The 15,242-nt window shown below is 37.2% G+C and overlaps 1 protein-coding gene across 7 annotated transcripts in view; it reads left to right on the top strand.

Annotated features, from left to right (window-relative positions):
• PCMTD1 (protein-L-isoaspartate (D-aspartate) O-methyltransferase domain containing 1) overlaps positions 1-15,242 on the top strand; it is an 81,612-nt gene that overhangs the window by 30,401 nt on the left and 35,969 nt on the right. For 2 of the 7 annotated variants that reach the window (NM_052937.4, NM_001363193.1), the window contains exon 2: positions 7,540-7,941. The exons of 3 other annotated variants lie outside the window; for them this stretch is intronic. In NM_052937.4, the coding sequence (NP_443169.2) occupies positions 7,635-7,941 (307 nt within the window). In that variant the 5' untranslated portion in view covers positions 7,540-7,634. Of the gene's footprint in view, positions 1-4,038; positions 4,098-7,539; positions 7,942-15,242 lie in introns of those variants that run through there. 2 more of the 7 variants (XM_047421323.1, XM_047421324.1) reach the window with 2 other exon arrangements.

Here is a 15,242-nt window from a genome sequence, read left to right as displayed (position 1 = left end):
GTAATTTATAATTCAGTTTCCACATTCAGCAATAATGTATGTGGTAAGAGCTGTATCTGTGAAACTCTTTGGTGTGGTTTAAGTTATTATTTATGTAATAATCTTCTCTTTCTGTATCTTTATTTTTCTGCCCTAGACTGTCTTATTAAATGTATTTTTATTCCTTAGGAAATTTTCCATATGGCTTTATTATACTTCATCTGTGCTCTCTCTATAACCCCTTTAATTTTACCTTTACTTGCCAATTTTGTTCAAATAATACTTGTAACACAGTTTGTAAAGATACCGCAAACCTTGATGCCAAAGCATAGCAGTCCCTGGCTTCACCTGTTTTCACCCCCAGCCTCACATTCCAGAAGGAACTTAACACATATAGCCATTTTGTAGGGTATTTAATGTACACATTGCTAACTAAGATGCTGCTTTTCCTTTTTATTCATTACTTTTGGACAGATTTACTTTCTGTCATCATAGATAAGGTTTTAGCTCCCATGCCCCTCTTTTCCTCTTCTCTCTCACTCAGTGTGGTTAAACGAGTATTAAAACTAAATAAGGAATTATGTTTATAGTATTTTGACTATGTAAACTGTGTCATTCTCCCACACCCCCCCACACCAAGTAATACAGTTCTCTTTATAGTTTTGGTTTTTCCTTAAAATCCTATTTAATCTTTAGCAAAGAATAATTGTATATTTATGGGGTGCGATGTGATGTTTCAATATATGTTTACAGTGTGGAATGATTAAATCAGGCCAGTTAAAAAATTTGCCTCTCAAAGCTATCATTTTGTATGGTGAAAACATCTACAATTTACAGTTTCAGCAATAATTGTTTCAGCAATCACAGATAACACAGTGCATTGTGATTTATTATAGTCACCATTCTGTAAAGATTACTAAAGCGTATTTCTCCTGTCTAGCAGAAACTTTATGCCCTTTGACCAGCATTTCTCCTTTCCCCCATCTACCCTCCTGCCCCAGCCTCTGGTAATCATCATTCTATGCTCTACTTTTGTAAGTTTAACCATTTTAGGTTCCACATGAGTGAGATCATGTAGTGTTTGTCTTTCCATGCCTGTCTTATGTCTTAGTATGTCTTATGACTTAGTGTAATGTCTTACAGGTTCATACATGTTATTGCAAATGACAGAATTACCCTTCTTTTAAAGGCTGAATAGTAATCCATTTATATATATATAAATGGATTTTATATGTATATAATGTAAGTCTATATTTATCTTTTTCTTCTTTCTCTCAAATTCCTATACACACACACACACACACACACACACACACACACACACACACACCATTTTCTTTACCCATTCCTCTGATGATGGACACCTAGCTTGCTTACATATCTTGGCTATTGTGAATAATGCTGCAGTGAACATGGGAATGCAGATATATCTTTGACATACTAATTTCAATCTTTTTGGATATAGACTCAGAAGTGGGATTACTGACTGGATCATAAGATAATGCTGATTTTAGTTTTCTGATTAGCCATACTGTTTTTCATAAAGCTGTATTAATTTTCATTTCCACCAACAGTTCACAAGGGTTCTCTTTTCTCTACAACCTTGCCAATACTTGTTATCTTTTGTCTTTTTGATGATAGCCATTCTGACAGGTGTAAAGTGATAACTCATTTTGGGTTTTAATTTGCATTTCTGCGATGACCATTTTTTCATATGTGTTGGCTGTTTATATGTCTTCTTTTGATAATTATTAGGTCTTTTGTTTGTTTTTTGATTGGCATATTTGTTTTCTTGCTATTCAGTTGAGTTCATTTTATATTTTGAATCTTAATCCCTTATCAGATGTATGGTTTGCAATCCCTTATCAGATGTATGGGTTGCAATCCTTTATCGGATGTATGGATGTATGGTTTGCAGTTTTTTTGTTTTGTTTTGTTTTTTCAATATATGTTATCACTTCACTTTACTGCTTGTAAACAATTAGTAAAGCTTTACTGTACAGAAGCTTTCTAGTTTGATACAGTCTCATTTGTTCATTTTTGCTTTTGTTGCCTGTGCTTTTGGGATCATATCCAAGAAATCTTTGCCCAGACTAATGTAATGGAGCATTTCCCCTATGTTTTCTTCTAATAGTTACACAGTTTCAGGTCTTATATTTAAATCTTTAATCTGTTTTGAGTTGATTTTTGTATATGTTGTGAGATAAGGATTCAATTTCATTCTTCTGCTTGTGGATATCCAGTTTTCCCAGCAGCACTTATTGAAGAGACTGTGCTTTCTTAATGGTGTGTTCTTGGTATCCTTGTTGAAAATTAATTGACCATAAATATGTGAAGTTTCTTTCTGGTCTCTCCATCTACTTTGATTGGTCATTGTGTCTGTTTTTATGTCAGTACCATGCTGCTTTGATTACTATAGCTTTGTAATAGATTTTGAAGTCAGATAATGTGAGGCCTCTAGTTTTCTTCTTTTTGCCTGTATGATTCCTCACAAATTTTAGGATTGTTTCCTATTTTTGTGAAAAATGTCATTGGAATTTTAATACAGATTATGTTGAATCTGTAAACCACTGTTGGTAGTACAGACATTTTAACTATTATTTCTGTGAGTCCATGAATATGGAATACCTTTCCATTTATTTGTGTTTTCTACATTTTTTTTCAATATTTAATAGTGTTTAGTATACAAATCTTTCACCTCCTGGGTTAAAGTTTACTTTTAGGTATTTTTTTTTTGATGTTGTTGTAAATGGGATTGATTTCTTAATTATTTTTTCAGATCATTTGTTGTTAGTGTAAAGAAATGCTACTGACTTTTATGTGTTGATTTTGTACCCTGCAACTTTACTGATTTGTTTAGCAGTTCTAATAGTTTTTTGGTGGGTCTTTACAATTTTCTGCATATAAGATTATGTTATCAGTTAACATAGGTATTTTCAATTTTTGCTTTCCTATTTAGATGCCCTTTATTTTTTTTTTCTTGTTTAATTGTTCCAGCTAGCATTTTGTTCTGTGTTGAATAGAAGTAGTTAAGAATAGAAATCCTTATTCCTGATCGTGGAAAACCTTTCAACTTTTCATCATTGAGTATGTTTGTTGTGGGATTTTCATAATAGCCTTTATTATGTTGAGGTATCTTCCCTCTGTGTCTAATTTATTGGGAGTTTTTATTATGAAAGGATATTGAATTTTTGTTAACGGCTTTTTCTGCATCTATTGAAATGATCATAGGGTTTTTGTCCTCATTCTGTTAATATGGTACATCCATCACATTATTGATTTGTGTATATTCAACAATCCTTGTATTCCAAGGATCAGTCTCACTTGGTGGTGAGTGATCCTTTCAATGTTCTGTTGAATTTGGTTTGCTAGTATTTTGTTAAGGATTTTTGCAGATATGTTCATCAGGGATATTAGCCTGTTCTTTTCTTTTCTTGTAGTGTCCTTATCTAGCTTCAGTATCAGAGCAATACTGGCCTCGTAAGTGGAGTTTGTAGGTATTCTCTTCACTTGATTTTTTGGAAGGATTTGAGAAGGAATTGGTATTAGTTCTTTAAATGTTTGGCGTAATTCCACCTTGAGGCATCTGGTGCTGAGCTTTTCTTTGATGGGAGATTTCTTAATTATTGATTCAGTCTTCTTGCTTGTTATTGGTTTGTTCAGATTTTCTGTTCCTTCTTGATTCAACTTGGGTAGGTTGTACATTTCCAGGAATTTATTCTAGGTTATCCAATTTGTTGGTGGATAATTGTTCATAGTCTCTTATGACCCTTTGTACTTCTGTGATATCTTCTGAGTTGTGGTATCTCCTCTTTCATTTCTGACTTTATTGTTAGAGCCTTCTTTTTTTCTTAGTTGCTAAAGGTTTTTTGATTTTGTTTATCTTTTTAAAGAACCAACGCTTAGTTTCACTGATCTTTTCTGTTTTCTTTCTGTTTTCTATTTTATCTATTTCTGTTCTGAATCTTATCTCATTCTTTCTGCTAATTGGGGTTTAACTGGTTCTTTTTTCTCTAGTTTCTTGAATTTATTTGAAATCTTTACTCTCTTTTGATACAGGCATTTATTGCTGTAAACTTCCCTTTTAGAACTGCTTTTGATGCATCTCATAAGTTATGGTATGTTATGTTTCCATTTTCATTTGTCTCAAGATATCTTTATTTTCTTTTTAAATTTCTTTGACCAATTGGTTTTTCAGGAGCATATTGTTTATTTCTGTGTGTTTGTGAACGTCCCAAAAGTCCTCCTGTTACTGGTTTCTGGTTTCATTCCATTACGAGTAGAAAAGATATTTGGTATCATTTCAGTCTTAAATTCATAGAGACTTATTTTGTAGACAAACATATAATATATCCTGGGGAATACTCATTTCAGTTGCTGTTGGATAGAATGTTCTATATGTCTTTTAGGTCCATTTGGTCTAAAGCGTTGTTCAAGTCCACTGTTTCTGTCTGGATGATATGTCCATTGTTGAACGTGGAGTTTGAATTCCTCTGCCATTATTGTATTTCAGTCGATCTCATCCTTCAGATCTATTAGTATTTGCTTTATATATTTAGGTGCTCCAATATTGACTGCATATATATTTAAAATTGTTCTGTTCTCTTAAACAGGACATAAAATAATGGCCTTCTTTGCTTCTTTGTCTCTTTTTGCAGTTTTTGACCTAAAGTCTATTTTGTCTGATGGAAGTATAGTCATCCGTGCTCTCTTTTGGTTATCATTTTTCATCACTTTATTCTCAGTCTGTGTGTGTCCTAAGGCTAAAGTGAGTCTTTTTCATAGGCGGCATATTGTTGGGTCTTGCCTTTCTAATCCATTCAGTCATTGTTTTTAAAAATCCATGCAGTCATTTGATTGGATAATTTTTTTTTTTTTTTTTGAGAGGGAATCTCACTGTCGCCCAGACTGGAGTGCAGTGGTGCAAACTCAGCTCACTGCAATCTCTGCCTCCCAAGTTCAAGCAGTTCTCCTGGCTCAGCTTCCCGAGTAGCTGGGACTACAGCTGTGTGCCACCACACCCAGCTAAATTTTTTTTTGTATTTTTAGTAGAGACAGGGTTTCACCATGTTGGCCAAGCTGGTCTTGAGCTCCTGACTTCAAGTGATCTGCCCGCCTCGACCTCCCAAAGTGTTGGGATTACAGGCGTGAGCCACCGCATCTGGCTAATCTTTGTATTTTTAATAGAGACAGGATTTCGCCATGCTGGCCAGGCTGGTCTTGAACTCCTGGCCTCAGGTGATCCACCCACCCACTTTGACTTCCCAAAGTGCTGGCATTACAGGCATGAGCCACTGCACCTGGCCTGGGTTATAGTAATTTTTAATGAGCTACAAATACACTCAGTACAGTGTTTGTCAGTAAATGGTGGTAGTTCTTATTTATTTCATTCTTCTTCTTGCCTTTTTCTCACCAAAAATGTGAGCTATGTGGTAAAGACCATATTTGATTGATTGTTTTGCTATGATAATTTTGAATTGAATGGAATTCAGAAGGACCTAAGGAGGGTCAGATCATTCTTCTTAAGCCCTAGAGCCCACTCAAAGGGAATAATTTTTTAGTAAATTGTGGCATTTACGGTACAGCAATTTGCCAAATATCTTTGTAGTCAGAATTATTCTTATGAAATCCTTAGGCAAATGCCACACTGGATACTGACAGAGACTATCTCCTAGTGTAATATAACCATTTTTTCTTTCACCTTAGGAAGAGATTCACTCTGAGTGCCAGATGTAAAAGTTGACTTGTGCTAAAGGCCATGTTATTAAAAAAAAAAAAAGTATTGAAATGCTACAATTGGACTCAGCAAGTTGAGATGCCACAGCTAAGACCTGTTGAAGGAATAGTGAATTGGCATCTCCTATTGCACTGCATTCTACAAAGTATATTCATTGAGGAGAAGGGTGCTGTAAGCCCTTGTACTTATATATTTTTGAGGACTGAAGGTGCTAGAGCCAGGCAACTTTTTATAAGTGAGTTTGAATGAATTAAATGTGAATTCACAGTATGTCCTCTACTCCAAAAGTTCTTAAGGCAATTGTAGGAAAGGACAAAGTGGACACAGACAAAGACAATATGATAGGCTGTGTTAGGGGAGCTGCCCTCGTGGTGCCAGGGGCCTGAGGACCCTGGGGATACTTGAGACCCTAATTGGTATACTTCTCTATGGTCAGGAGTTGGAGTACAGCCTTGCCAGAGTTAACTGTCATAACTCTTGTTACTGGCCATGGGTATTTCATTTCACACTTTCTCCTCTACTGATTTATTAATTCAGGAATTGATACATTAACTTACTAGCTATAGTTGAATAAAGCTTAAATTGTATATTCAGTATTATGTTTTGAAATTTTTTTAGTTTTCTCAAATTGCACTTACATTTGCATTCTGATGCTGAGTTTAATCTGTTAAAGAAGTTCAGTGTATGTGTGTGTGAGTGTGTGTGTGTGTGTATGTGTATAAAACATGTTCTAGTGCTTGGAATATTGAGGTTATTAATAAAATTTGTGGTTTCTGTCACAACAAGGTTTACTAAACAAAACAATCAGCACACAAGCGCATTAATAAACATGAGTGTGGGGTTTGTTTATTTTGCATTTTATGTTCAGTGTTTCGAGTAATATGTTATTCTGTGTGTTAACATTGTAAATTTATGTAGTGCATTTTTGAATTGTGGTTTTTAAGTTCAGAAATTTAAAATCAACTAATTTTTAAAATTAATCTATACTATACTGTACTATACTATACTATACTGTACTATAAAGAAGCCAGTGTGGCTCAGTGATTAAGAGCATGGAGGTCGGGCACGTGGCTTACGCCTGTTATCCCAGCACTTTGTGCGGCCCGGGCGGATGGATCTCTTGAGCTCAGGAGTTTGAGACTAGTTTGGGCAACATGGTGAAACCCTGTCTCTACAAAAAAATAAAAAAATTAGCTGAGCGTGGTGGCATGCACCTGTAATCCTAGCTGCTTGGGAGGCTGAGGTGGGAGGATTACTTGAGCCCAGGAGGGGATGAGCCAAGATCATACCACTGTACTCCAGCCTGGGTGACAGAGTGAGACCTTATCTTAAAAAAAAAAAAATTAAAAAAAAAACATGGTTTCTGACTCTAAAGACCTAAGACCAAGTCTTGACAGTGTCACTTTGCAGAGCAGCACTGTCCAGTATGGTAGCCACTAGCTACAAGTAGCTATTAAACACTTAAAATACAGGTAGGTTGACTAATGGAATTTTAAATTGTATTTAATTTTTATTAATTTAGATCTAGGTAGCCATGTGTGACTAGTGGCCACCATAATGGGCTTCACGGTACTAGGTGACTTACTTGACTTCTTTGTGTTCCAGTTTTCCCATCTGTACAGATGAGATCATATAAGTTACCTTTTGTGGTTACTATATGAATTAAATAAAATAATATAGTTAAGAAGGAGTTTAACACTATGCTGGAGCAGAATATTTCCATGAGAAATGGTAGTTAATTATAATGACATACATTTAATAAACAAGTTATTTTGCTTTTGAGCATTAATTTAAACCTGTTTATTTTTGTTCTTCCCTTCCAGGATTAATTTATTTTTGGAAATCAAGTGCAATATTGGAAGCCATTTCTACTAATTTTATTTCACTTTTAAATTTATGATTTGATTTGAATACTATCATGGGAGGAGCTGTGAGTGCTGGGGAAGATAATGATGACTTAATTGATAATTTAAAAGAAGCTCAGTATATTCGTACTGAAAGAGTGGAGCAAGCCTTCAGAGCGATTGATCGTGGAGATTACTATTTGGAAGGCTACAGAGACAATGCTTACAAAGACTTAGCCTGGAAGCATGGAAACATCCACTTGTCAGCACCTTGCATTTATTCTGAAGTTATGGAAGCATTGAAACTTCAACCAGGATTGTCTTTTCTTAACCTGGGAAGTGGAACCGGATATTTAAGTACAATGGTGGGCTTAATTTTAGGTAATTTTATTTTTGTAAAATTCTATTTTAAAAAATAAGCCATTTTGTATTATGGTTTATGATTTATAGGAGTTGTAACTTTGTGTACAGTATGTTTGAATGTGTATACACAGTGTAGGTATCTTCCTTACTTAGATGTGAAAACACAAAGTAGTAGTAATCTTTTTTCATTCCGAGTCCTTACCTCAACCTACAGTAGCTCTGGAAACTAACTGTTCTCTGTTAGTCATTGTCTGTACTTAAAGTCAAGCGCTGGTGGGCAGGAAACTCAGGAGTAATATTTAATCTATTTCAGATAGAGTGTTCTGTCTTCTGGCATATAAAGTTTGATGGTTATCTAAGAGCATTGTGCCAGGTTTTTGTTAAGAGAGACAGGAGAATGTGGGATATATAAGATGTGGCACTGTTAGGGTAAAGCAAGAGATTGGAGAAAAATAGAGAAGAAAGAAGTATATGTTCATTAAGCTTTCAGCATATTTAATGAGTGTTTGCTCTGCCAAGCATTGTTCCTGGCATGTGCATATGCCAATGATCAAAAGGGACTAAGATTTCTGCCCTCAAAGAGCTTACTGGGTGTTAAATGCTAGGTATTGTTTAAAGCAGTATGTGTGTATTAACTCATTCAGTGTTCCTAATACTCCTTTGAAGTACAGACAATTATTAATCCTTTTATATGGGCAAGTAAATGAAGGCACTGGGAGGTTAAATAACTTGCCTGAAAGTCACGTATCTAGGAAGTGACAACTGGATAACATGGAATATAGGTGGAAGACACATGGGTGGAGGAAAATCTGCTATAAGACATTATGTTGGATGGAGGATGACCAACCATGAAGTTTACCAAGCCATTTAGTTCAGCTGCCATATTCACTGGCCGCTACTGTGTGGCATACGTTAAAATAGAGCATTATTTAGGGGGGTGGGGTGTGAGAAGACAAAATCAACAGCCTTCATCTAGTCTGATAGGTACTATAGTTGAGGTATATCCCTAAGTTAATAAGGATGAGAATGTGGTGTAAAATTCATTCTAAAGTGATGGGGAATCATTGAAGAATTTTAAATAGAGAATGACATATCCTCTAGTAGGGTGACTCTATGTTCCAGTGTGTTGGGACAGTCCTACTTTATCTCTGTTATCCTAGTGTCAGTATTAATAATGTCCTTTCATTCCTTGAAGTGTCTGAGTTTGGACAATAAATTATGTGGTCACATTATGACTTTTAAGGTATAGTCAGGTCTGAAATTTCCTCCCTACACACTAGCTAATTCCTTACTCTATTAGTCATGGGACCTCCCATCTGTTTCATTTGAGTGTGGGGATGGAAGCCTTTCATTCCGCAACTGGGTTAGTTCTTAATGTATAAGAACTGTTCAAAAGTGATAGGAAATTATTAATTTTCATCGATAAAGAGAAATCTAGAAGCTTACATTTAAATTTGGCGCTCCTCCCTGTCCTGAGACAGGAATTTCTTAACAGGTTGGAACTTCCAGATATCTGTCACTTCTATCACCGGTTTCTTTGAAAAAGGAATCTCTAGGGTTTGAGACAGTCTGCAAAATCTAGAGGTGAGAGTAGGGAGAGTTGCTTCTTTAAAAAAAAAAAGAGGGGGGAATTGCTGTCCTTGAACATTTCTTAACCAGCTCTGGCAACTCTGGGCTGGAGTCCAAGCCTTATACCATGTTTGGCCAGCCTGAAAGTGCCTGTTTATTCTGTCTTACCCTTCTCTAGTATGTGCCAACTGGCTCGTGCTGAGGGAGGTCAATCTAGCCAAACTTGGGATGGGGGAGGTATGCATCATAATTTGCTATCTTGCCAGCAGTGAGGTTGCCTTCTTAGACTCATTACCTTAGTCCCAGGCTCCAAGAGATTAGATGTCTGTGGCCAGATGGCACTGTAGGCAGATGTCAAACTTATTGTATCATGAATGTCTTAATCACGACATGGGCAATGTGGGGAAAGAGACCATTGTGTAAATGATCTACAATGCACTAGATAGTTTCCTCCTGTTACAAAGCTGTAGGGAGTCATGGATCTTTAGTTACATATATGGCAGTGGCTCCTGGATACTATTCCAGGATTTATCTTTGTATGATCCTGCTAAGTTAAGACCAAGATATAGTTGTTCTCGTTTTGATTAGGAATATTCCTTTGGTGAGAAAGATAAAGAAGGAGAAGCAGAAACAACAGTCTGTAAAACTATGATTACAGCTAATAAGTCTTAAATTCACCAGGCTTCTGAGGAAGCTTTATCTTTACCCTGCTCTCTGTTTTTAGTTTGTGTTTTGTGTGTGTTTTATGTCATGGAGGGGAAGGTATACATCCATAAAAATCACTTAGAACTGGATCCAGAGGAGGATGCTCACATGCTCCCTGTGATTATTGAGTATAGTGAATCAAATTTGGCTCCACTGCTTCACAGCCACCTTATTAACAAAAGTTCTTTATTAAAAACAAAAAACTATAACACTATGGCTCAGCCATTTTTCTTTTCCACTCACAAGATAGGGATAACAGGTGCTCCCCCATAAACAGTGGGTCCTATGGGTACTACATATTTAGTAGTAAACTCTGGGGGAGTCCCGGCCAAAGCAGGGAGAGCGGGGTATCTGTGATTTGGTAACACAGCTAAGGAAGATACCCCTTGGGGAATTTCCACTTGACTCCAGAAACACAAATCCAGAAACAAATTCAGTGAGAGTGGGGCATCTGTGATTTGGTAACACAGTTAAAGAAGATACTCCTTGGGGAATTTCCACTTCACTCCAGAAACACAAATCCAGAAACACGAATTCAGTGAGAGTAAGTTAGGTTTTTCTTTTATTATTATTATTATTAATTTATTCATTTATTTTTAGGTAGGGTCTCACTCTCTTGCCTAGGCTGGAGCGTGGTGACACGGTCTTGGCTCACTGCAGCTTCGACCTACTGGGCTCAAGTGATTCTCCCGCCTCAGCTTCCTGAGTAGCTGGTAGTACCAACACGCGTGGTTAATTTTTGTATTGAGTTTTCTTCAGAAAATTTCTTAGGATTAAAGCACACTTTAGGGAATTATTCATAAATTTACTTTTATCGAAGAAAGTGGAGAATAGATCAACTCCTGAGATGTCTCATTGAGACATGTTTTTCAATTTCAAATTGAAGATAATTCATGTCCTGTTTGCTTCTCCTTAAATATTTTCCCTGAACTAAGGGTTTTCGTAAAGATCTAGTACTTAGTTGATTCTCCTCTCAGTACTGTCGTTTCATTCTCAGGGAATTCCTTTGAAAAACAGGATGCAAATAAAGCAGCCTCCCACGTCCTGTATTTTACCTCTGCTTTCCATAACTGAATGGAGTATCAGAACCACGAAGGCAAGTTATTCTGATAAACTCTTTGTGATTCAGGTAGGGATTCTGAATTCTGATCCTTTTTACTTAGGGATTCATTTTCATTTTCTTGTATAAACCATAATATAAAAATTCTAGGTATCTTATAAAACATATAATACACAGATTCATCCCACCTAATGACTTTCTCTTAGTCTCTTGCCTATTTCCCTAGTTAATAGGAGTGACTCTGGGGAGACTGCTAGTGCCATCCAGCACTGTGGATGCCACTACCTTGCTGCTACAACATTCATTCCTAAAGGTGAAATAATTGGTAAGCAGGAAACTTACTGCAGTTGCCATATTGTTTAGAAGCATTAGTTAAGCTATCTGCTGCCATGATGTTTGACCTCTACACTCTCTCTCTTTGTCATGGGACGTTAAATGGTCCTTATTCAGCTAACCTATATTGCCTTTGACCTCAGTGCTCGTGCTTTCTCTCTTTTGCCTGCATGCTTATGCATGTTCTCTCTTGCTCGCTCTGCCTCTAATGAGGTATGATTCACATACCATCAAGTTTACTCATTTAAGAGTACAATTCAGTGATTTTCAATCCAGTTTGAGGATACTGCCAATGTGCTAAAAAGATTATTCCCCATGCCTAGTTGCATCCCCTCCCAGTACTCAGCCAGTCCCTGACAACCAGTTACCTACTTTCTGTCTGTATAGATTTGTCCTTTCTGGACATTTCATATAAATGAAATCATAACAATATATGGTCTTCTGAATCCAGCTTCTTTCACTTAGCATTACATTTTCAGGGTTCATCCATGCTGTAGCATGTCTCAGTACTTTATTCCTTTTTATGGCTGAATGCTGTTTCATTGTATAGATATACACTACGTTTTGTTTATCCATTCACCAGTTAATGGACATTTGAGTTACTAGTTTTTGACCAAATGCATAATGCCATTATGAGCATTTAGGTACAAATCTTTGTGTGGATATACATTTTCATTTCTGTTAGGTAGATTCTTAAAGAGTAGAATTGCTGACCTGTATGGTAAATTTATGTTTTTAAGAGACCAACAAAGTGTTTTCCAGAGTGGCTGCACCATTTTCCATTCCCACCAACATTATATGAGGTTCTAGTTTATTCACATCCTCACTAATACTTGTTACTTCATTTTTTAAAAAGCCGTGTTAGTGGATATAAAGTAGTATTTCATTGTGGTTTTAATTTGCTCTTCCTTAATGACTAATGATAATGGAACAGCTATTCATGTGCTTATGGGCCATTAGTATATTTTTTTGGTGACATGACTAGTCAAATCTTTTCCTGTTTTTTAATTGAGTTGTTGATTGTTGAGTTGTTAGTATTCTTTATATATTTTGGATATAAGTCTTTATCACAAATATAATTTTCAAATGTTTTTTCATGCTCTTTTAAGTGCCTCTTAAAGAATGTTCTTTATTAGCTTACTTTAGGCCAAAAGATTAGGGAGATCCAGGGTGGTCAGTTCCCCCGTCCCTCAACTCTCATTCTTCTTGGTAAGATAAAACACATTCTGGGCCAGGCGCGGTGGCTCAGTCTGTAGTCCGAGCACTTTGGGAGGCCAAGGCGGGTGGATCACAAGGTCAGGAGATTGAGACCATCCTGGCTAACACGGTGAAACCCCATCTCTACTAATAATACACACACATCAAAAAATTAGCCAGGCATGGTGGCAGGCGCCTGTAGTTGCAGCTACTCGGGAGGCTGAGGGCAGGAGAATGGTGTGAACCCGGGAGGCGGAGCTTGCAGTGAGCCATGCCACTGCACTCCAGCCTGGGCGACAGGGCGAGACTCTGTCTCAAAAACAAAACAAAAAACACATTCTGCAGGTATCAAGGTTTCTGTATAAGATATACTCTGTTTTATGCATCAAACAGAACCTGAGTTTTTTCTCTATACTGTGTTACACTTTTTTTTTAAAAGGAATTTTTTGTTTGTTTGTTTGTTTTTGAGACAGAGTCTCACCCTGTTGCCCAGGCTGGAGTGCAGTGACACGATCGCAGCTCACTGCAGCCTGTGCCTCCCAGGTTCAGTTGATTCTCCTGCCTCAGCCTCCTGAGTAGCTAGAACTAAAGGTGCACGTCACCACGCTTGGCTAATTTTTTTTTTTTTTTGGTATTAAAGACGGGGTTTCGCCATGTTGGCCAGGCTGGTTTTGAACTCCTGACCTCAAGTGTTCTGCCCACTTTGGCCTCCCAAAGTGCTGGGATTACAGGTGTGAGCCACCATGCCTTGCTCTGTTTTTTTTTTTTTTTCTTTTTAGGAATTATAAATTATGTTTTTTTTTTGTTTGTTTTTTTTTTTTTTTGAGATGGAGTTTCACTCTTGTTGCCCAGGCTGGAGTGCAATGGCATGATCTCGGCTCACTGCAACCTCCGCCTTCCACGTTCAAGCTATTCTCCTGCCTCAGCCTCCCTAGTAGCTGGGATTACAGGCATGTGCCACCACGCCTGGCTAATTTTGTATTTTTAGTAGAGACAGAATTTCTCCATGTTGGTCAGGCTCGTCTCGAACTCCCGACTTCGGGTGATCCACCCTCCTTGGCCTCCCAAAGTGCTTGGATTACAGGCGTGAGCCACCACGCCTAGCCTTTTTTTTTTTTTTGAGACAAGTCTTGTTCTGTCAGAGCCCAGGCTGGAGTGCAGTGGTGCCATCTCCACTCACTGCAACCTCCGCCTCCCAGGTTCAAGCAATTCTCCTACCTCATCCTCCCAAGTAGCTGGGATTGCAGGCATGTGCCGCCATGCCCAGCTAATTTTTGTATTTTTAGTAGAGACGGGGTTTCACTGTGTTGGGCAAGATGGTCTCGATCTCCTTACCTTGTGATCTGCCCACCTCGGGCTCCCAAAGTGCTGGGATTACAGGCATAAACCACTGCGCCTGGCCCATCCATTCTTGATATGTGATTTATTTGGGGCTCTGTGAGCAAATCTGTTTTGAAAACAACCTTTTATTTTAGGCTAATCACATTTTATGAAATTCATGAAACTCTTAACTATTTGAACTATTATTTCTTAGTCCTAGTTAGGCTTCTGGGCATCTTTTTTCTGCTCTTGTTCTCTGTATGGAGTTGCCACCACTGTTCTATTTCTTAGATTTTTTTTTTCCCCCTCTCACTTACACTGGTTGTGGAGTAGAAGTCGTTACTGACAACCACCTCTTTTATTGCTGCTAACTCTGAAAATCAACATCCAGGTGATTTTGTGTTTATGGATAATATTACTGCTGATTACAGGGTAATAGTAAATAAAATAATAAATATTAGAAGTCAATACAGGTTTTACAGAGTTTTCATAGTAATTTCTTCTGGTTATATTTTTTCACACTATTCTTAGAAGTTAGGAAGAAATTTCTCCAGTGATGTGAAGTGGCTTAGGTGGTTCTCTGAGCATTTTGAGTTTTATCTTTGTGATTAACTGTTTCCCAACCAAGATTGTCTATGTAGCAAATACAGCCAATCCTTACTATTTGCAAATTTTGTCTCTTGAGAATTCACGTACTTACTAATACTTATTTGAACTGCCCAAATCAAAACTCACACTGCTTTTATGATCACTAACAAGCTTGCAGAGAGGAACAAAAAATTTGAGTTTCCTGCTTTGCATCTTCCTAGCTAAGGTGGGATAAAGTGAAGTTCTCTCTGCCTTGTCTCTGTGGTCATACAAAGATGACCAAAGGCATGTCACAAGCTCCCAGTCTGCACTGGGGCCTGTTGATGGCTTGAATCCCAATTCTGGCAACAGTTCGTGGGGTGGCTCAGGCAAGTCACTAACACTTAAGTTTATTTTCTCTTTTGTAAAATAAATAATATAGTCTCTACCAGGATGAGTTCTCAGGATTTAATATTATAATCTATTTAATATATTTATGTATGTACATATCTTCCTAAGGAGCAATAGTTCATCTTTTGCTAATTCAATGTTTGCTGTATGTTTTTTA

The sequence above is a fragment of the Homo sapiens genome, chromosome 8 (assembly GCF_000001405.40).
Source record: "Homo sapiens chromosome 8, GRCh38.p14 Primary Assembly".
Lineage (NCBI taxonomy): Eukaryota > Metazoa > Chordata > Mammalia > Primates > Hominidae > Homo > Homo sapiens.
This window is presented reverse-complemented; position numbering and strand designations above follow the sequence as displayed.